General features: G+C 44.9%; 2 protein-coding genes, 1 long non-coding RNA gene and 1 pseudogene across 4 annotated transcripts in view, besides 3 other annotated features; 1 reads left to right on the forward strand and 3 right to left on the reverse strand.

The window, feature by feature from the left end:
• The window catches only part of LOC100507443 (uncharacterized), a 37,634-nt gene that overhangs the window by 6,679 nt on the left and 10,081 nt on the right, over positions 1 to 20,874 (forward strand). Inside the window, exon 2 of the long non-coding RNA NR_038437.1 lies at positions 11,249 to 11,372. This is a non-coding gene — a long non-coding RNA (uncharacterized LOC100507443). The remainder of the gene's footprint in view (positions 1 to 11,248; positions 11,373 to 20,874) is intronic.
• Positions 2,330 to 4,021, reverse strand: CRYGC (crystallin gamma C). The gene is made up of 3 exons (NM_020989.4): positions 3,977 to 4,021; positions 3,634 to 3,876; positions 2,330 to 2,668 (listed from the first exon to the last, which is right to left on the reverse strand). The coding sequence occupies exons 1-3, from the start codon at positions 3,983 to 3,985 to the stop codon at positions 2,396 to 2,398; spliced, it is 525 nt and encodes a 174-aa protein (NP_066269.1). The 5' UTR covers positions 3,986 to 4,021; the 3' UTR covers positions 2,330 to 2,395.
• Positions 5,977 to 6,477: an enhancer, noted in NCBI's record as "H3K4me1 hESC enhancer chr2:208996508-208997008 (GRCh37/hg19 assembly coordinates)". NCBI's record gives its function as "activates a minimal SCP1, AML or CMV promoter by ChIP-STARR-seq in naive H9 embryonic stem cells {active_cell/tissue: H9 hESC(naive)}" and the evidence as "EXISTENCE:reporter gene assay evidence [ECO:0000049][PMID:30033119]".
• On the reverse strand, positions 9,439 to 11,740 carry LOC100533727 (replication factor C subunit 2 pseudogene; annotated as a pseudogene).
• CRYGB (crystallin gamma B) lies at positions 16,766 to 20,351 on the reverse strand. 2 transcript variants are annotated; one of them, NM_005210.4, is made up of 3 exons: positions 20,305 to 20,351; positions 19,967 to 20,209; positions 16,766 to 17,106 (listed from the first exon to the last, which is right to left on the reverse strand). In NM_005210.4, exons 1-3 carry the CDS (start codon positions 20,311 to 20,313, stop codon positions 16,831 to 16,833), a joined length of 528 nt encoding a protein of 175 aa, NP_005201.2. In that variant the 5' UTR covers positions 20,314 to 20,351; the 3' UTR covers positions 16,766 to 16,830. The 2 variants fall into 2 exon arrangements, with proteins under 2 accessions (NP_005201.2, XP_016858891.1); XM_017003402.2 differs by having other exon boundaries at positions 16,791 to 17,106; positions 19,961 to 20,209.
• Positions 17,153 to 17,935: an enhancer, noted in NCBI's record as "OCT4-NANOG-H3K27ac hESC enhancer chr2:209007684-209008466 (GRCh37/hg19 assembly coordinates)". NCBI's record gives its function as "activates a minimal SCP1, AML or CMV promoter by ChIP-STARR-seq in primed H9 embryonic stem cells {active_cell/tissue: H9 hESC(primed)}" and the evidence as "EXISTENCE:reporter gene assay evidence [ECO:0000049][PMID:30033119]".
• Positions 19,543 to 20,166: an enhancer, noted in NCBI's record as "H3K27ac-H3K4me1 hESC enhancer chr2:209010074-209010697 (GRCh37/hg19 assembly coordinates)". NCBI's record gives its function as "activates a minimal SCP1, AML or CMV promoter by ChIP-STARR-seq in naive H9 embryonic stem cells {active_cell/tissue: H9 hESC(naive)}" and the evidence as "EXISTENCE:reporter gene assay evidence [ECO:0000049][PMID:30033119]".

A 20,874-nucleotide genomic window follows, 5' to 3' on the forward strand; every position in this document is an offset into this window, starting at 1 on the left:
GGAAATACCTTTTTCTTTTGTTTTGTTTTGATTGTTTTCTTCATCCCCATTGCTACATATAGCAGGCGTATGGTAGGTGCTCAAAAATTGGTAAGGATCCTAACTCAAGGAAGTTAAGAGTCTCTAGTGGCTAATAATTGGAGGCTATTGAAATGGAAAATAAACTTGTGGCTGGGTGTGGTGGCTCACACCTGTAATCCCAGCACTTTCGGAGGCCAAGGTGGGAGGGTCACTTGAGCCCAGGAGTTCGAGACCAGCCCTGGCAACATAGTGAGACCCCTTCTCTACAAAAAAGTGAAAAAATTAGTCAGGCATGGTGGTGCGCGCCTGTAGCCCCAGCTACTTAGGAGGCTGAGATGGGAGGATCGCTTGAGCCTGTGAGGTCGAGGCTGCAGTGAGCTGGGTTTGTGCCACTGCACTCCATCCTGGACAACAGAGTGTGACCATGTCTCAAAAAATAAATAAATAAAATAAAATAAACTTGCACTATGAGCCGGTAGTCTCACTTCTAGGTCGCTATCTTTTTAAAATTATGGCATGTCAGGATTAGCGTATATGTACAATGTTATTCTTTGCAGCATTGTTGGTAAAAGCAACATTGGAAAAGCCCAGTCACTTAAGTGGACAAATGGTGAAATGGTCTAAGGGACCTCCAAACAATGGGATGCAATTCAACCATCAAACAGAATAAGATACTGACCTAGATATATGTCCATATTATAATACATTTTAAAAGCAAGTTGCAGACTAATATGTATAGCATGATTCCATTTTTGTAAAGAAAAGAAGCATGTGTTTTATAAGAGAGCTATATAAACAAGGAGAAAATCCCAGAAGGGTGCCCACCAACTATAAACAAGAGTTAGCAATGAGGGGCGTCAGAAGGACTCCCCTCAACTTCTTTATAGAATTTGTACAGTAGTAAGATTATGGGAGGCCTTTTACTTTGAAGGGAAATTTTTAAGTTAAAATAAATAAATTCTCTGCTGATGAAAAGACTCGTAATTGCTTTCTTTTTTTTTTTTTATTTTTACTTTTTAGGGCTTTGCTTATGAGCAAGCAGATTTTAGTTTAATAAAAGGCTCCAGAAATTATGGCTTCTTTAAAGCACCTTTAAATTTGAGCCCATTTTGTAATTACAGGACTTACGTATTTGTTTATTTAAACTTTTATTTTAGATTTAGGGGCACGTATCCAGGTTTGTAATACAGGTAAATTGCATGTTGTGAAGGTTTGGTGTACAGATTATTTTATCACCCAGGTGATAAGTATAGTACCTGACAGGTAGTTTTTTGATCCTCTCCAACCGCCCACCCTGCAACCTCAAGCAGGCCCCAGTGTCTCTTGTTTTCTTCTTGTCCACATGTACTCAAAGTTTAGCTCCCACTTAGAAGCGAGAACATGAGGTATTTTGTTTTCTGTTCCTGTGTTAGTTTGCTTAGGATAATGGCCTCCAGCTCCATCTATGTTGCTGCAAAGGACAGGGTCTCATTCTTTTTTATGGCTGCATAGTATTCCATTGTATATATGTACCACTTTGTAAAATCCAGCCTACCATTGATGGGCATTTAGGTTGATTCCATGTCTTTGCTGTCATGAATAGTGCTGTGATAAACATATGCATACATGCGTCCTTATGCCAGAACGATGTTTTTTGTAGTTATTTTTTATGTTTGGGGTACACTATACCATGAAAATCTATTTAAAAGATTGATGTGTATCTCTTAATATTAATTTATTTGCAATAGCTGGTCACCATGAAACTGATGTGCAGTTTCTATAATTGACACAGCATTTGGGCCAGGGGTAGTACCGACCAAGAGCTACACTTCTGGACAGGAGTCATTTTCAAAAGAAGATGAATAGTCTTTAACTTTGTTCAAAGGTACGGCAATGGCTGCGGTGGCCCTGGCATTAGTTATATAATACTGTGTCTGAAAGTAAACAAAACTACAATCCTTTATATAGTCTAATCAGGCTGTTGGCCAAGTTAAGTTTGCCCTCTCCACTCATCTGACTTTGCCTTTTGTCTAACCCATTTTTGGTTAGAAGGAAACTTCCCAACTATTGTTCCTCAAGGTGCTTAGTTGAATGCCTCCCTTCTCACCAGTCAGCCTCTCCCAGGTCTCTGGCATTGCCCTGCGTTTTCTTTCTCGGGCAGGCTACACCCTGCCTCCACCCCAACGTCTGAGGCTTGTTCAAACTCACTCTACCTTGAAGCTCTTCTCCAATAGACCCCGTCCCCCACCCCATTCACTTCTTAACTTTTGACAAGGAGCATTTAAAGGTGAACTGATTTGCACAATGAAAGAATGACAGAAGTCAGCAATTGCCAGCAATGCAGACTAAATATTTATTAGGTTCCAAAATGGGAAATTGGTAGTGTTAAGCTATTTTAATACAAATCCACCACTCTCCGCAAAGAGCCTGCCTTAGCATCCATGGCCCCCCAGTCCTGGCACCGCCTGTACTCTTGGGGCCTCAGCAGGTATTGCCGCCCCCGGTAGTTGGGCAGCTCGTAGAGGACCCAGCAGCCCTCCAGCACGTGGAGGGAACGGATCTCGCTGAGGTGGAAGCGGTCCTGGATGCTGGGGCAGTCTTCACTCAGCTCCATCATGAGGCCTTTGTGGTCTTCCCTCTCGTACAGCCGCAGCCTGTGGGAGACTGTCTACTCGGTCCACAGAAAGAAGGATGGAAAAAAGCAAATGAGTCTCTTCCAGAATTTGTCCAACCAAAGAACAGATGAACTTGGTAGGTTGTGGCATGGAATTGTCATTGTAAAATTTAGACAGTGTAAAATGTAGATTACTGTGGTTGCTGCGCATGGATCTGTCTTCCACTAGCACCTAAATACTGGCACGCTCATTTTCTATTTGACCTGAAATTCATTCTTATTTAGGAGATGGAATTTTTAAGAGGTTCAAACTCTGAGTTAGAATCCATCAAGAACTGAGATATCTTGATTCCTAATTACCTGTGTTAATTCAAACTACATTTGGGGGGAAAAATAGAAATAATTTATTTTCACTAGTATTCTTTTAGTAAGGGTATTATCTCCCAAATTTACAAACATATAAATTTACCACTAAAGTAAGATTTAAAAAATCTTGTACTTCAGTGTAAAGTTAAATAGTCATTTGGAATGAGAATTTAACTGATTTTCCAAATTAAGAAAAATTACCTTTTCCAAAGTTGGACACAACCTTTGAATAGCCTATATTAACAATACAGCTTTGAAGGTTTACTAGTCCATGGTGGAATCTATCTAATTCATTCATTAGAAATTCTTTTACTATAGACAAAATAATTTGTTAAAAATACCGTCTTTTTATGCCCAACCAGCTTCCCATTTGCAAGTTTTGTTTTATATCCCATTATGATATTACATTTGTTACAGACCTCTTTTAATTGACTTATTGGTAGCAAAAATTTCAAGTAAAACGGATTCTTCCTCTAAGTGGGTTCTTCCTTACATTCTCTGCTGTTTTTGTGCATGTTATCTATCTGGCTTATTCAGGTCTCTGATGTCCATCTAACCCTTAGGTGTTTTTAAATGCAAACCTCCCTCCCTGTAACCCACATTGACAATACAGTGGGGACTCTGGCGGCATGATGGAAATCTAGAAAACTCACTTGGGGGATGAGACAACAGGAGCGGATGGAGTCGCTGAGGCCCATCCATTGCTGGTAGTCGGGGTACTCCCCTCGCCGCAGCAAGTATTGTTGACCTTGGTAGTTGGGACGCTCATAGAGCATCCAGCAGCCGCTCTCCACCCGGATGGAGTTGCAGCGGCTGAAATACGGCTGCAGGTTGGGGCAGTCAGTGGTGGTTTCGTAGCTGCGGCCCTGGAAGGCCCTGTCCTCATAGAAGGTGATCTGCAAAGGAAGAATCGTTCCGAATTACATTATTTGCTCCTAACAGGCATTATATAAAGGCAACTTTTTTTTCATTTTATTTAATTTGTGTTCTGCTCACCTTCCCCATGGCTGGTTGACACGGATGATGCGAGTTCAGTGTGATGGGGCCTGCGGCTGCACAGCCAGTCTATATAGCAGGATGGCTGCTGCGTTGGCAAGAACAACACAAAAGGGGCCCTCAGCGGTAAGGGGATTTTATGCATCTCTTTAACATCCTGCATTCACTGGAAATGATTGTAGATTGTGTCCTTGTTCTCTGGTATATTCTAACGCTGTCCTGTACATACTGCTCTGTGTTGCTTTTATTTGGATTGTTAGTGTTTTCTAAATTTATCTGTGCATCAGTCTGAACTTTTGACCTGAAATTCGTGGCTCTGTCTATATGATTGAATTATTCCCTGTGAATTTTCTGGGAAAGATCTATGCCATTATAGAATTGCTCCAGGATTCCAGAGAGGTTGCTGAGGTAGAATGCCACAAGCACTGACTCATTTCCCTGGATGGCAGAGACTGCTCTACCTTACATTTTTGTCTTTACACAATTTTCCAGTCCAGGGCCGGACACAAATCTAGATTCTTATCTTGGCTAGTTTTGACTTCGTTAACCCAATGCTTTAAGACAGCTTTTAACTATGCCTTTCGTGGGCACGTCGTCTAACTAGAGATCAGTCCCTGGTAGTGAACTTACGATAACAAGCAAGGGAAAGGTTTCTATGGTCACTGGGCCCAAGACTGAGAAGTACCGTATACTACTTTATAGATTGCTTTCCCTTTTTCAAGCGTGAGGGAGGCCATAAAGCTTCACGGGCAAGAGTGTGAGCTTTGGACTCAGGCCGCCTGTACTCAGAAGGCCCACTGATTAGCTCCATGGCAAATTATATAACCACTCAGAGCAGGAGTTATCTCATGGACTATAGTCTGATTAATGAGAAAAAAAGTGAGAAAAAAGAGTAGCCTCTGACATTCAGATGCTGGCGTGGCACTCGCAGTGAGGACATGTTACTCCGCTATTAGACATAAACAGTCTCACAGAATAACAACTTCAGACAAGGCTACTCCGAGACCAGGATGAAATGAGATAAAATAAATCCACTTCTTAACTTTGCCTAAGCGCAGACAAAAACAAAGTCAATGCTCCACTCTCAAAATCCCAAGCCCTCACTCTCTCAGCCAAAATGATTAACTGCCACTTCTTTATGGATTACAGGTTTATCCGTGTTCTAGTCTCCCCTCCCTACGGGTAAGATTTCTTGAGATAACTAATCACAAAATTAACCCTGCTTTCTGCTAACATCTAATCTGGAGTGAACTCCAACTTTTTTAGCTCCTTCCCCAAATCGCACAACTGAAGTGCAAATCCTATAACAATTTCTTTCTAAGCTCTCTTACTGAGACACTCCATGCTTCCCCAAGGAGCATGTCCTCCCTTGCTGCAACAAGTAATAAGCTCAACTTGTTTAAAGACAGGTGTGTCCCTGGTGGTCTTTAGCTAAAGGACATTGACATGAATAAGTGGGATTATGTGTATAAGGCATTTGGCACATACTTGGCACAAATGAACACTGAATAAATGTTGTTATTAGTAATAGAGTGACATTGTTAAGGCTGACTTCATCCTGTTTATCCCTCTCAAAGATATTTAATCCTCTCAAAGATTCCTGAAAAAATTTATCCTCTATGAAGCCATTTTGTGATTAAAGAAAAATTAGGCTTGGAAGGGACTTTCGAAACCATCGGGTGGTTTTCAAACTCCAGTGTGCCTAAGAATCACCTTGCTTATTAAAAATGCAAATTACCATCTTGATCTTTTGGCTAAATCCTGCATCATTAGATCAGGAGAAGACCTCAGAACCTACATTTTTATTTTTTATTTTATTTATTTTATTTTATTTTTTGAGATGGAGCCTTGCTCTGTTACCCAGGCTGGAGTGCAGTGGTGCGATCTCAGCTCACTGCAACCTCTGCCTCCCGGGTTCAAGTGATTCTTCTGTCTCAGCTTCCTGAGTAGCTGAGATTATAGGCGCGGGTCACCATGCCCGGCTAATTTTTGTATTTTTATTGGAGACAGGGTTTTGCTATGTTGGCCATGATGGTCTCGAATTTCTGACCTCAGGTGATCCACTCACCTCGGTCTCCCAAAGTGCTGGGATTACAGGCATGAGCCACCACGCCCAGCCCAGAACCTACATTTTTAATAAGCACCAAATAGTTCTTGGGCCAAAACACTGCTGTGGTTTATCCCTTCATGTTTTGACAAGGAAATCATGTATTTTAGCCATCCCTAGGCAATGCCTTATTAGGAATTGTACTAGCATTCTCTTAATTCTATTTATTTATTTTTTGAGATAGAGTTCTGCTCTGTTGTCCAGGCTAGAGTGCAGGGACACAATCTCAGCTCACTGCAGTTTCTGCCTCCCACGCTCAAGCTCAAGCTCCCACCTCAGTCTCTTGAGTAGCTGGGACTGCAGGTGCATGCCACCATGCCCAGCTAATGTTTTGTATTTTCTTTATGTAGAGACAGGGTCTCACTATGTCGCCCAGTCTGGTCTTGATCTCCTCAAGCAATCCATTTTCCTCTGCCTCCCAAAGTGCTGGGATGACAGGCGTGAGTCACTGTGCCCTGCCTAACATTCTCGTTAGACTTAAAGGCAGATGTGCTCTCTGTTTTGTAGCACTCTTTTTTTTTTTTTTTGAGACGGAGTCTCGCTCTGTCGCCCAGGCTGGAGTGCCATGGCGTGATCTCAGCTCACTGCAACCTCCGCCTCCTGGGTTCAAGCAGTTCTCCTGCCTCAGCCTCCTGAGTAGCTGGGACTGCAGGCGCCCACCACCACGCCTGGTTAATTTTTTTTTTTTTTTTGTATTTTTAGTAGGGACAGGGTTTCACCGTGTTAGCCAGGATGGTCTCGATCTCCTGACCTCGTGATCTGCCCACCTCGGCCTCCCAAAGTGCTAGGATTACAGGCATGAGTCACCGCGCCTGGCCAGCACTCTTTCTTGTTCTATAAAGTTTCATATGTACACAGTGAGAGAATCGGAGCAGAGATACCAGCACTTAAATTAGAGCACTGGTAAGAAGACAGGAAAAGCAATAAAGGGGCCAGAAAGTGCATATTACAGAACATCGCTCTTGTTCCATAATGGCGTAGTCTTGTATTTCTCTAACCTTTTTTCAAATCTTTCTCCTTCTCTCCTCTGCCCCAACCACCTCCCACCCCCAAACCCCTGCCATTGTAGCTGCCTTACATAGGGTCTTATCATATCTCAGCTGGACTTTCAACAGCCTCCTGACTCTGCCCAGTGTTGTCTTCCTCCAAGCTGCACTCAGACAGATGCTGGAGTGATGAGAATCAAAACACATCAAATCATGCTGTTCATTTGCTTGAAAAATTTCATGGACTCCCATTGTCTCCAGGATCCAATATTGATCCCTTAGCGCGGCATCCTAGACCTGGCCTCCGCTGTCTGTCCCCACGCTTTCTGATTGATCACGCCGAACCGCTTGTCATTTCCCAAATGCACAATGTTATTTCATGTTGTTCTTGTTTTTCAACATATTGATCCTTCTCAATGAGACACCAGTTTATTTTTCAACCAGAGAAATTTTACCCTTTCTTCAAGTCTCAGCTCAAGCGTCAGTTTGTCTGTAAAAGATTTTCCTGAACCCTTCCTAATCTTCTGGGCTGAATTAAATACTGCCTCCGTGGCTCCTCATGTTCATACCACTATAAGGGTAACTATCACTTATCTAATTATTTTGTTTAGACATCAGTCCCTCAAAATAGATGGGAGAGCCCCATAAAGGCAGAGTCTATTCCATCTTTATTTTTGTGTTCTCACTAATTGGCTTAGAGGACTGGCACATAAAGGTTACTCAATAAATGCCCGGGAGGGGGGATGTGTGAATGTTATTCCTTGTCTGAAATTTATTATTATAATGGTCTATGGAGCCTGTTTCAAATGTTCAATATACACAGGCATAACACACTCACATTGAAGTTCAGGATGTGCAACTTTCGGTGTGTAGGATGACACAGGCACCCTGCACTTGATCGATTTAATGGGGCTTTTTTTTTTTTTTTTGAGGCGGAGTCTCGCTGTGTCGCCCAGGCTGGAGTGCAGTGGCGCAATCTCAGTTCACTGCAAGCTCCGCCTCCAGGGTTCACGCCATTCTCCTGCCTCAGCCTCTCCGAGTAGCTGGGACTACAGGCGCCCGCCACCACGCCCGGCTAATTTTTTGTATTTTTAGTAGAGACGAGGTTTCACCATGGTCTCGATCTCCTGACCTTGTGATCCGCCCGCCTCGGCCTCCCAAAGTGCTGGGATTACAAGAGTGAGCCACTGTGCCAGGCCTTCTTTTTTTTTTTTTGAGATGAAATCTTGCTCTTGTCACCCAGGCTGGAGTGCAGTGGTGCGATCTTGGCTCACTGCAACCTCTGCCTCCTGGGTTCAAGAGATTCTCCTGCCTCAGCCTCCCGAGTAGCTGGGATTACAGGCGCCTGCCACCACGCCCAGCTAATTTTTGTACCTTTAGTAGAGTCAGGGTTTCACCATGTTGGCCAGGCTGGTCTTGAACTCCTGACCTCAGGGGATCTGCCCACCTCGGCCTCCCAAAGTGCTGGAATTACAGGTGTTAGCCACCACACCCAGCCATAATGGGCCTTTATAACAGTGGAGATAATAAGCAAAAGGGAAAAACCAGGAATGCTGTGTTGTGCCCTAAGTCCTCCCACTCCTTAGTAATTCTAATTTTTATTTCTTCTGAGATGAGAAATTAATGTTACAACAGCGGTAGCCAATTCTAGAGTTTTGCTGGTGTCTGAGGTCCAGCCAGCAGTTGATTTTACCACCCACCTTCCTGCTTCTTAGCAATTAATATACGGTGGTATCCTATGCAGTCATGCATCTCTTTTTTATATGATTGCAATTTTAATTTTAAAAAATGGGAAAAAATAGTACCCTTGCAAATAAAAAGGCAATTCTACAAATTAATATAAAATTCACTGGGGAATTCTAAAGCGAAGGCCAAGAGTTCCCTCGAGGACATGGGAAAGGCATCATGCTGGGGTTTTTGTGTGGTGCTTTGCCAGTCGGCACCCCCTCAGCAAGCCCTTCCTGAAGGGCTTATTGCCCTGGTTTTGAGAAGTCTATCTAAATAAAATACAGCAAACTCTGCCCTCACCCCAGGGAACTGGTCCCTTCATGCTTCTAGAAGAATTGAGATTAGCTTGTCCAATCTACTCTCTAGTCATCTTCCTACTTGCAGGCTGCTAGGGGCCACAAGTAGAAAGGGGAGGAACAAGCAAGGGCAGAGACAGGAAGCTGGTTTTCCTTGAGGCCTCATGTGGTCACCTTACAACAAACACTGCAAGGCTTTATGAGCTAAATGTCAACTCACACACAGATCAGGTGCCTGCCCTGAGCTTCTCTGAGCCTTTCTGCCCCGCTCCATCACTCGTCAGTGAGTCTGAGGTTGAATGCAAACACTCATGGAGCAGAGATCAGCTAGAAGCAACGTGAAAACCACGAGGGTTTAAAGTATGGTGTATGCTGGCACCAGCTTAAGGTGGCATTCCCCACCCACGCTTCCCCCTCCACTTCAGAAGGCTGCACCTCCTGTATTACAGGGATTAGGGCTCTTGTAACTCAATCAATAAAGCCTCTGCTCTATGGCCACTGGGGCCATTGTCTTCTGACGTAGCCTGGCCAGGAGCCCCGTTGTCGGCAGAAGGGAGTTCACTCCTCCTCTGCTTTCATACCAGTGTATCCAATTTCCTTGACAAACTCCACTTTATCAGTTATTCTGCCATTTGGAAAGTTTTACACACTTGGAAGATGTTGCCAATGACATCTTCTGGTGAGTAGCCCAGATGCCATAGGTGAGCAGGAATCTTGTAGGTTTCCTTGACATGGGCATTCACACAGTGCTGGATCATCTCCTTCATGAGCAGGGGGTGGGGCTCGTCGCAGACCCTGAACATACTTCTCGCTGTAACTGAAGCCAGATCCTGGGAAGATGGACTGCAAGTTGTTCAGGGCCTGTCTCATGTCTCCCTGACCCATGAGGATGATGGCTTCTAGGCCAAAGTCAGTGTACAGAACTGTACCCTTCTCTCTAGCATTCATTGGCCTCACACTGGTCCGGGCATCGGTCAGCTTTGTGTAGCGGAGGACTATGCACTGGGATCCAGTGGCCTCTGAACAGAGACGGGAAGGCAGTGAGGTTTCCCTCAGAGGCTGGCATCACCCTATTAGTGCTTTGATTACGAGGATGCAGCTGCATAATCCACACAGCCCAGCCATGCTGGTGGTGCGACTCCTCTTTGGCAGCAGGTGCTTAAGAGAAATGCAGTAAAAACAAGGCTAAATGTCAAAGTATTAACCAAAGTATAAAGTATTGCTTTATAAATTGCTTTTCCTTTTCCAAGCATGAGGGAGGCTATAAAGCTTCACGGGCAAGAGTGTGAGCTTTGGACTCAGGCCGCCTACACTCAGAAGGCCCACTGATTAGCTCCATGGCAAATTACATAACCACACAGAGCATGAGTTATCTCTATGGACTGTAGTCTGATTAATGAGAAAAAAAGTGAGAAAAAAGAGCAGGCTCTGACATTCAGATGCTGGCCTGGCACTCACAGTGAGGACATGTTACTCCCCTATTAGACATAAACAATCTCACAGAATAACAACTTCAGACAAGGCTACTCCGAGACCAGGATGAAATGAGATAAAATAAAGCCACTTCTTAACTTTGTCTAAGCGCAGACAAAAACAAAGTCAATGCTCCACTCTCAAAATTCCAAGCCCTCTCTCTCTCAGCCAAAATGATTAACTGCTACTTCTTTATGGATTACAGGTTTATCCGTGTTCTAGTCTCCCCTCCCCATGGGTAAGATTCCTTGAGATAACTAATCACAAAATTAACCCTGCTTTCTGCTAACATCTAATCTAGAGTGAACTCCAGCTTTTTAAGATCCTTCCCCAAATCACCCAATTGAAGTGCAAATCAGACAGAGGCCTCAGCCAGCACTGCCCCAGCAATGGCCTTGGCTGGCCAGGGCTTTCAGATGGAGAAATGATCCTCCAAGGCAGACATCCATGTGCCACAAGCCCTCAGATGAGTCAATTCAGGCCCAGGAAGACTCTGGAATCACAATGTATGCTGGGCGTTGGGCCCTTCTGGGCAGATGACAATTCGGTCTGGCTGGGGGTAGGAACAGGACACTCACAGTTTCTTTAAAGCTCCACTGGAGATGCTGACCTGCAGCTGGAGCTAAGAACCACCAGTCAGACAAATGTAGAATTCTAAAACTCTCCTTTTTCTTCTCCTTAGACTACTACAACAGCTTCTTCATGATGTCCAAACCCCAATTTGGCCTCTCTCTGATCCTTCATCTATGCTGCTGTCACATGGGCCTTCCGGTGATCTTATCTGAAGCATTAAAAGCAAGAACACAGTGAGTCGTTTTAGAGCAGATTTCAATGGTTCCCCTGAAGGCTTGCTGGACTCCATCAGTTATGCTGTCTGCTTCATCCAGGAAGATGATCTTATGTTGACCTTTGGGAAGGATGACTTTTTGTCAAGCAAACATTTTGATTTTATTCCTCGCAACGTCAATGCCCTTGCCATTTGAAGCACTGAGTTCCAGCATGGCATCCTTCAGTGCTGGGCCCAGGATGCTTATAACTTTGTCAGTTCCCAGGGGGCCAGCAAAGATGATGTGAGGCATATTCCCTTCTCTTGCAAAGATCTCCAGCCTGCCCACAGTGTATTCATTCCTGTCATTTTCATTCAGCTTTACTGGCCTATATTTTTCAACCCCACTCTCACATCCAGATGTGCCCATTCCTTATGACCTGGGCCCTCACCATGCAGCTTGCAGTTGTTGGCCCTGCCAGGGGCCTTGCTGAGGGCAGAGGCAGGGTCTTGGGCTGCAAGCTCGCCTGCACCACCGCTACTCACTTGCACCTCCATTCTCTAGCTCTTTTTATTTTTATTTTTTTGAGATAAGGTCTCGCTCTGTTGCCCAGGCTGGAGCACAGTGGCGTGATCTTGGATCACTGCAGCCTCTATCTCTCTGGCTCAGGGGATTCTCCCACTTCAGCTTCCCAAGAATTTGGGACCACAGGTGCCTGCTACCATGCCCGGCTAATTTTGTTTATTTTTTGTAGAGATGAGGTCTCACTATGTTGCCCAGGCTGGTCTCGAGCTCCTGGGCTCAAGCAATCCTCCCACCTCGGGCTCCCAAATTGCTGGGATTACAGGAGTAAGCCACTACGCCCGGCCCATGCCTACATTCTCTAGCCTCCTCTTCCCCCATGCATCTCTTATCAATGGGATACATTTTGAGAAATTTCATTGTTGTGTGAACATCATAGAGTGTACTAACACAAACCTAGATGGATCAGCCTACTACACTAGTATTTGTGTATCTAAACAAATCTAAACATAGAAAAGGTACAGTAGAAATGCGAGACCAGCTCGACTGGGGACAGCCTAACCCAGTGGCACTAGAGGAATTAAAGACACACACACAGAAATATAGAGGTGTAAAGTGGGAAATCAGGGGCCTCACAGCCTTCAGAGCTGAGAGCCCCAAACAGAGATTACCCATGTATTTATTAACAGCAAGCCAGTCATTAGCATTGTTTCTATAGATACTCGATTAACTAAAAGTATCCCTTATGGGAAAAGAAGGGATGGGCCGAAATGAAGGGGTGGGTCTGGCTAGTTATCTGCAGCAGGAACATGCCCTTAAGGCACAGATTGCTCATGCTATTGTTCATGGTTTAAGAACGCCTTTAAGCGGTTTTCCGACCTGGGTGGGCCAGGTGTTCCTTGTCCTCATTCCAGTAAACCCACAACCTTCCAGCGTGGGCGTTATGGCCCTCATGAACATGACACAGTGCTGCAGAGATTTTGTTTATGGCTAGTTTTGGGGCCAGTTTATGGCCAGATTTGGGGGGGCCTGTTCCCAACAAGAAATATGGTATAAATGATTAAAAAACTGTACACCTGGCCAGGCACAGTGGCTGACGCCTGTAATCTCAGCACTTTGGGAGGCCAAGGCAAGGCGGATCACGAGGTCAGGAGATAGAGACCATTCTGGCTAACACGGTGAAACCCCGTCTCTACTAAAAATACAAAAAAATTAGCTGGGCGTGGTGGTGGGTGCCTGTAGTCCCAGCCACTCGGGAGGCTGAGGCAGGAGAATGGCATGAACCCAGGAGGCAGAGCTTGCGGTTAGCCGCGATCACACCACTGCACTCCAGCCTGGGTGACAGAGTGATACTCTGTCTCAAAAAAAAAAAAAAAAAGATTGTACACCTGTATAGGACACTTACCATGAATGGAGCTTGCAGGACTGGAAGTTGCTCTGGGTGAGTCAGTGAGGAGGGTGAATGAATGTGAAGGCCTAGGACATTACTGTACACCACTGTAGACTTTATACACACTGTGCACTTAGGGTACACAACATTTTTTTAAAATGCTTTTCTTTCTTCAATAATAAACTAACATTAGCATACTGTAACTTTGTAACTTTATAAACTTTTTAACATTTTAAGCCTTTTTGACACCTTTGTGGTAGCTTAAAACACAAACATTGTATAGCTGTACAAAAATATTTTCTTTTTATCCTTACTATATAAACTTTTTTCTTTTTTTTTTTTTTAATAGAGATGGCGTTTTGCTATGTTGCCCAGGGTGGTCTCAAACTCCTTGTATGATTCTCCCCAGGGTCTGAAAGCTTAAGGGGATGAGTAACCCCTCCCTTCCCAGGCCCAGTCCCAAGGCGCAAGGTCACTTGTGTCAGCAGTGTGCGCCAGCAGGATAGCAGAAGCAGGAAGAGAGCCGGCTGGAAGACACGTACCCCCGAAGATCGAGAAAGAGGCCATCCGGGTACAACGTAGCAGTTACGTCAGACTAGGACACTTCCTGTTTACAGGAGACTGTAAAACCTTTGCCCCGTCCTCACTTGGTGCTGACGCCATTTTAAGCCTCGGCCTTCCTGCACTCAGGCGCACCCAGGCGCTCCTTAAAACAGCTTATTGCTCCACACCTCCTCGTGTTGTCTGTGGACGCGCTCTTGGGGTTGGAACCGATACAAGAACCTTACACTGCTGGGCTCAAGTGATCTGCCTGCCTCGGCCTCCCAACGTGTTGGGATTACAGGCGTGAGCCACCACGCCTGGCCTATTCTTTTACTTTTTAAAATTTTGTGAAAAACTAAGACACAAACACACACATTAGTTTAGGCCTACACGGGGTCAGGATCATCAATATCACTGTCTACCACTTCCACATGTTGTACCACTGGAAGATCTTCACGGGCAAAAACACACATGGAACTGTCACCTATGATGATGATGCTTCCTTCTGTAGTACCTCCTGAAGGCTCTGCCTGAAGCTGTTTACAGTTAACTTTTTTTTTTAAAAAAAAGTATAAGTAGAAGGAGAATACTCTAAAGTGATGATAAAAAGTATAGTATAGCAAGCTGGGCACGGTGGCTCACACCTATAATCCCAGCACTTTGGGAGGCCGAGGCAGGCGGACCACCTGAGTATTGACTTTCTCTTTATGTTGGATTTAGGAGGAGGACAGGACATCTTTTTCTTTGCCTGTATCCCAGGGATAGGAGCAAAAAATTTCTAAGAATAATGACTTGATCAAAGAGATTCGGGGACTCTAATCCCTTTCAGTTCAGATGTTTTAGAATAATTTTCATGCCTAAAGACGGTGATTTACTTTTATTTTTATTTTTAGAGATAGAGTCTCTCTCTGTTGCCCAGGCTGGAGTGCAGTGACGTGATCTCACCTCACTGCAACCTCCGCCTCCCAGGTTCAAGCGATTCTCGTGCTTCAGCTTCTGTAGTAGCTGGGATTACAGGCATGTGTCACCACGTGCAGCTAATTTTTGTATTTAAATTTAGTAGAGACGGGGTTTCGGCATGTTGGTCAGGCTGGTCTCAAACTCCTGGCCTCAAGTGATCCGCCTGTCTTGGCCTTCCAAAATGTTGGGATTACAGGCGTGAGCCACTGCACCCAGCCAAAATATGTGATTTTATGTCTTCTAGGAAAATAGTGTAAAATTCAGCACGTTAAGAAGCTTTTGGTTTTCTGAATTATGTTTGACATGTTATTGTTGACAAACAGAGGACTCTGATTAATAGCTCCAGGAAGCCATCACTATTGTTGCGAGTTTAAAGGTTAAAGACCCAAGATTTAGGAAGAGTTAACACTAAATAATCCTAGATTCTGACTGTTTTTCAGGAAATAAATCTTTATATGTATTTGTGTTCTCTATATATACACACATACAGTAGGCTAATATACATATACATACAGTAGGCTAAACTTAGGCTACACATTTTTTTAAAATGCTTGCTTTCTTCAATAATAAACTAACATTAGCATACTGTAACTTTGTAACATAAACTTTTTAACATTTTAAACCTTTTTGACACTTTTGTAGTAATATTTAGCACACACACACACACACACACAGTAGGGTAAACTTGCATCCAAGTTTGCCTAGAACAGTCCTGGTTCATGTCTCTTGTCCCAGTGTAATTATTAATAGTATATACTTTCACTCTCAAAAATGACCCAGTGTAGGCCAGGCGTGGTGGCTCACTCCTGTAATCCCAGCACTTTGGGAGGCCGAGGTGGGTGGATCACCTGAGGTCAGGAGTTTGAGACCAGCCTGGCCAACATGGTGAAACTCTGTCTCTACTAAAAATACAAACATTAGCCGGGCGTGGTGGCACACGCCTGTAGTTCTGGCTACTTGGGAGGCTGAAGCAGGAGAACTGCTTGAACTGGGAGGCAGAGGTTGCAGTGAGCTGAGATTGCACCACTGAACTCCCGCCTGGGTGACAGAGTGAGACTCCATCTCAAAAAAAAAAAAAAAAAAAACCCAAAATCAAAACAAATGACCGAGTTTATGACTGGGTGTGGTGGCTCACACCTGTAATTCTGGCACTTTGGGAGGCCCAGACAAGAGGATCGCTTGAGCTCAGGAGTTTGAGACCAGCCTGGGCAACATGGCAAGACCCTGTCTCTACTAGAAATAAAAAAAATTAGCTGAGCATGGTGGTGTGCGCCTGTAATCCCAGCTATTTGGGAGGCTGAGGTGGGAGGATCGCTTGAGCCCTGGAGACGCAGGTTTACAGGGCTGGGATTACAGGTGTGAGCCACCACGCCCGGCCACTTAGTATTATTATGTGTAATCATAATATTTTACTCTCTACTGAAATGACATGAGGCTGAGCTTCCCGTGCGCATGTGGTTTTTGTAAATGTCCTGAAATTATTCCACAAAGCACATATAGCGAAAACACAGTGAATTCTATTTGGACTGGAAATCTCATAGTGGAATGAGATATTGGCAGTGGAAGTGAGAGGAAAGGGATGGTGACTGTTAGGAGGACAGGAGTGCAATAGGTAAGAGTGGACCAGTTCATTTATTTGTTTGTTTATGGAGCTGAGGTAGGAGTCTAGAGGCTGAGAACAACTTTCCTCATCAGCTAAGGCCTGGACTATTAGGGAAGACAATAGGGATAACCTGGAGGGATAACTTGGAGGTGTTTCAAAAAGTACCAATTCACCACCGTAGCTGCAAATCTAGCCTGGTGAGACTAACTACAATTGGCCTGAGTCCAAGTGAACTGAGCTTTTATTTGAGCCTACATGTTTTAGTCATTACAAGAGTGCTGGAAATAATATCTCTGCATTATTCCCCTTATAAAAGATTGCTTCCCATCATGAAAACATGTTATTATGTTTGGCTGAGTGCCATTATCACTTATAAATGCTTAATAGATTGAAAGAAAGACAGGGCTCTACTAGTGCCAGAAACACAAGCTAAATATTTTATTAGATTTTAAAGGAGAAAAGTGGAAAACGTAAATACTTCAGTACAAATCCATGACTCGTCTAAGAGAGCCAACTTTGGCATTTGGAGCCCCCCAATCAAGAAACCTCCTGTACTCCCCCGGCCTCAGCAGATACTGCCTCCCCCTGTAGTTGGGCATCTCATAGAGGATCCAGCTGCCCTCCAGCACATTGAGGGAGTGAATTTCAGTGAGGTGGAAGCGGTCCTGAACAGAGATACAGTCGTCTGTGAGCTCTGACATTTGTCCCCTCAATTCATCTCTGTCGTAGATCTTCATTCTGTAAGCGCCAGAGTGCTGGAGTGGCAGACAGAAAACGCAAGAGTAAACAAACAAAAACAGATGGAAATTAAAGCTCCAGTCCCTACACCTCCCTGGCCACACCTGCCCAGAAGTTCTCCCAGGCCAAGTTTGCTTCTAGAACAACCCTGTTGCAAAGTTAAGGAGCTGTCACACTCCCCAGTCACCCACCGCTGAGTCTAATGATTCATGGGCAGAGCTAGGGCTTTGGGAATTAAGATTTGCTTACAATAAAATATCACATCACTTTAGTGCCTGTTATTTGAGAAAGCCTTTCTCAAAGGAGAAAACTGAGAGTCATTGGAAAGTTAAATGTCATATTATGTATATACAGTGAAAGGAAAATAAATCTTGGGACCTCAAAATCACTAAGCTAAAGGGAAAAGTCAAGCCAGGAACTGCTTAGGGCAAACCTGTCTCCCATTCTATTCAAAGTCATCCCTCTGAGGCTCACCTGAGACAAATGCATCTCTGATTGCTTCCTCTCCCCTATTGTTTATGTAAAGATGCAGAGTCATCGAGCCAGACTAAATTGTGTATTCAGTGGAAAGCTGATCAAGGGCTCAAAGAACCTTTTGTCTCTTATCTACTGTTTTTTTTTTTGAGACAGAGTTTCGCTGTTGTTGTCCAGGCTGTAGTACAATGGCGCAATCTCAGCTCACTGCAACCTCCACCTTCTGGGTTCAAGTGATTCTCCTGCCTGAGCCTCCCGGGTAGCGGGATTACAGGCGCCCACCACCACGATTAGCTAATATTTTGTATTTTTAGTAGAGACGGGCTTTGACTATGTTGGCCAGGCTGGTCTTAAACTCCGTCAGGAGTTCAGGCGATCCACCCACCTCAGCCTCCCAAAGTGCTGGGATCACAGGGGTGAGCCACGCGCCCAGCTCTGTTTCTTATCCATGTCTAACCAGGAAGCCCCTACTTCCTGTCTTACCAGACTGAACCAATTTACAACTTATACATATTGATTGATGTCTCATGTCTCCCTAAAATGTATAAAAGCAAACTGTACCCCTGACCACTTTGGGCACATGTCTCAGGACTTTCTGAGGCTGTGTCATGGGTGCATCCTCAACCTTGGCAAAATAAACCTTCTTTCTGGGTTTTTTTTTTTTTTTGAGATGGAGTTTCACTCTTGTTGCCCAGGCTGGAGTGCAATGGCGTGATCTCGGCTCACCACAACCTCTGCCACCCAAGTTCAAGCAATTCTCCTGCCTCAGCCTCCCAAGTAGCTGGGATTACAGGCACGCGCCACCACGCCCAGCTAATTTTGTATTTTTAGTAGAGGTTTCTCCATGTTGGTCAGGCTGGTCTCAAACTCCGGACCTCAGGTGATCTGCCTGCTTTGGCCTCCCAAAAGTGCTGGGATTACAGGCATGAGCCACTGTGCCCAGCCTTGGCAAAATAAACTTTCTAAATTGACTGAGACCTGTCTCAGATATTTGGGGTTCACTATTATATGCGCACGCACACACACACACACATATATGTATTTGTTTCTTGAGACAGGGTCTCCCTCTGTCACCTAGGCTGGAGTGCAATGGCATGATCATGGGTCACAGCCCCCTCAACCTTCTGGGCTCAAGTGACCCTCCCACCTCAGCCTCCTGAGTAGCTGGAACTACAGGCATGCACCACCACATCTGGCTAATTTTCAGTTCAAATTTCTTTTCTTTTTTTTTTTTTTTTGAGACGGAATCTTGCTCTGTCACCCAGACTGGAGTGCAGTGGCATGATCTCAGCTCATTGCAACCTACCCTTCCCGGGTTCAAGCGATTCTCCTGCCTCAGCCTCCCAAGTAGCTGAGACTACAGGCGCGTGCCACCAAGCCCAGCTAATTTTTGTATTTTTAGTAGAGAGGGGGTTTCACCATATTGGCCAGGGTGGTCTTGAACTCCTGACCTCCTGACCTCGGCCTCCCAAAGTGCTGGGATTACAGGCGTGAGCCACCGCACCCAGCCTTCAGTTCAAATTTCAACCTATCTGACTTTTAAGCTTCCTTTCTAGCCTCCTGCTCTCAACTTATTTATTTCCCTCAGCAGCAAGTATCACCTTCATTAACTTCTGTTTTTATGACACTGTATCCCATGCCTCCCACACACCACAATTCTAAGAATTCTGCAGTCACTGCCCAGAAAATATGGAATCTCAAACTTTAGTTTCAGATTTGGCCTTTTCTCTAATTTATACCTCTAAGTGAGCTAATAGGTACTGACCATTAAATTAGAATAGAAATCAGAAGACAGGATCCTATCTTCTCAGGAGGAATAATCAAATAGAAAAGTAAGACAAAGCAAGCAAAAGTTTGTTGTTGTTGTTGTTGTTGTTGTTATTGTCGTTTTGAGATGGAGTCTCACTCTGTCACCAGGCTGGAGTGCAGTGGCACGATCTCGGCTCACTGCAACCTCCATCTCCCGGCTTCAAGCAAGCAATTCTCCTGCCCCAGCCGCCCGAGTAGCTGGGATTTAAGAATAATGTGATTAAATAGGCCGGATGCCGTGGTTCACACCTGTAATCCCAGCACTTTGGGAGGCCGAGGCGGGCGGATCACTTGAGGCCAGGAGTTCGAGATCAGCCTGGGCAACATGGTGCAACCTCGTCTCTACTATGAATACAAAAATTGGCTGGGCATGGTGGTGCATGCCTGTAATCCCAACTACTCAGGAGGCTGAGGCAGGGGAATTGCTTGAACCCGGGAGGCGGAAGTTGCAGTGAGCCGAGATCATGCCACTGCACTCCACCCTGGGGGACAGAGCGAGACTCCGCCTCAAAAAAAAAAAAAAAAAAAAAAAGAATATCATGAAATAGCTTTTATTTCCAAAAAGATGGAAGGCAAAGACAGAGCCACACTCACCGGGGGGATGAGGCAGCAGGAGCGGATGGAGTCGCTGAGGCCCATCCATTGCTGGTAGTCAGGGTACTCCCCACGCCGCAGGAAGTACTGGTGGCCCTGGTAGTTGGGGCGCTCATAGATCATCCAGCAGCCGCTCTCCACCCTGATGGAGTTGCAGCGGCTGAAATAGGGTTGTAGGTTGGGGCAGTCAGTGGTGCATTCGTAGCTGCGGCCCTGGAAGGCCCTGTCCTCGTAGAAGGTGATCTGAAAAATGGAAGATGTGGGAGCATGGAGTGATTGGCCCCCACTGAGGCCACTGCATTAGGGCCAAGGCTGAGCATCCGGTACCCAGGACTTACCTTTCCCATTTTGAAGGAAGTGAGCAGATGTTTTCTGGTTGCTGTGTGGGACTGCGGGAACGTCACTGTATGTATAGCAGCCCTGACTGCTGCCTCCACAGGAAATCACACAAAAGGGCCCATTTTGGTGAGTAAGGGGATTTGCAAGCTCGCTGCTCTCCGTGCCCAGGTCACTGGGGTTGGCTGAATGGTTTACTCTCATTCTTTCTGGTAGGTTCGGGTTGTTCTAATTCACTAAAGCTGTTGTTGCCATCAAAATGAATAGAGTACACTTTTAGTTGAGCAAAAGGATGGGCGAAATTCTGTCTCTGTGCTTTTATTTTATAGTTTACTCTGCTTAATTGACTTCTCAAAAGTCATTAAACTAAGTAATGAATTCTGCTCAGGGACTGGTGGTGTTTTTGTGTGTGTGTGTGTGTGTGTTTTAGTTCTAAAAGCCAGAATTTAAATAGTAAGGAATCTTAAAGAAGAGGGAATCAAGTGAAGTAATCTGTGAAAGTGTGTTAAAACCCATAAAGCTTAGTTCAAATTCAAAATTCTGTGATCAGCCAGGCGAGGTGGTGCACACCT

Source organism: Homo sapiens, chromosome 2 (genome assembly GCF_000001405.40).
Source record: "Homo sapiens chromosome 2, GRCh38.p14 Primary Assembly".
Classification (NCBI taxonomy): domain Eukaryota; kingdom Metazoa; phylum Chordata; class Mammalia; order Primates; family Hominidae; genus Homo; species Homo sapiens.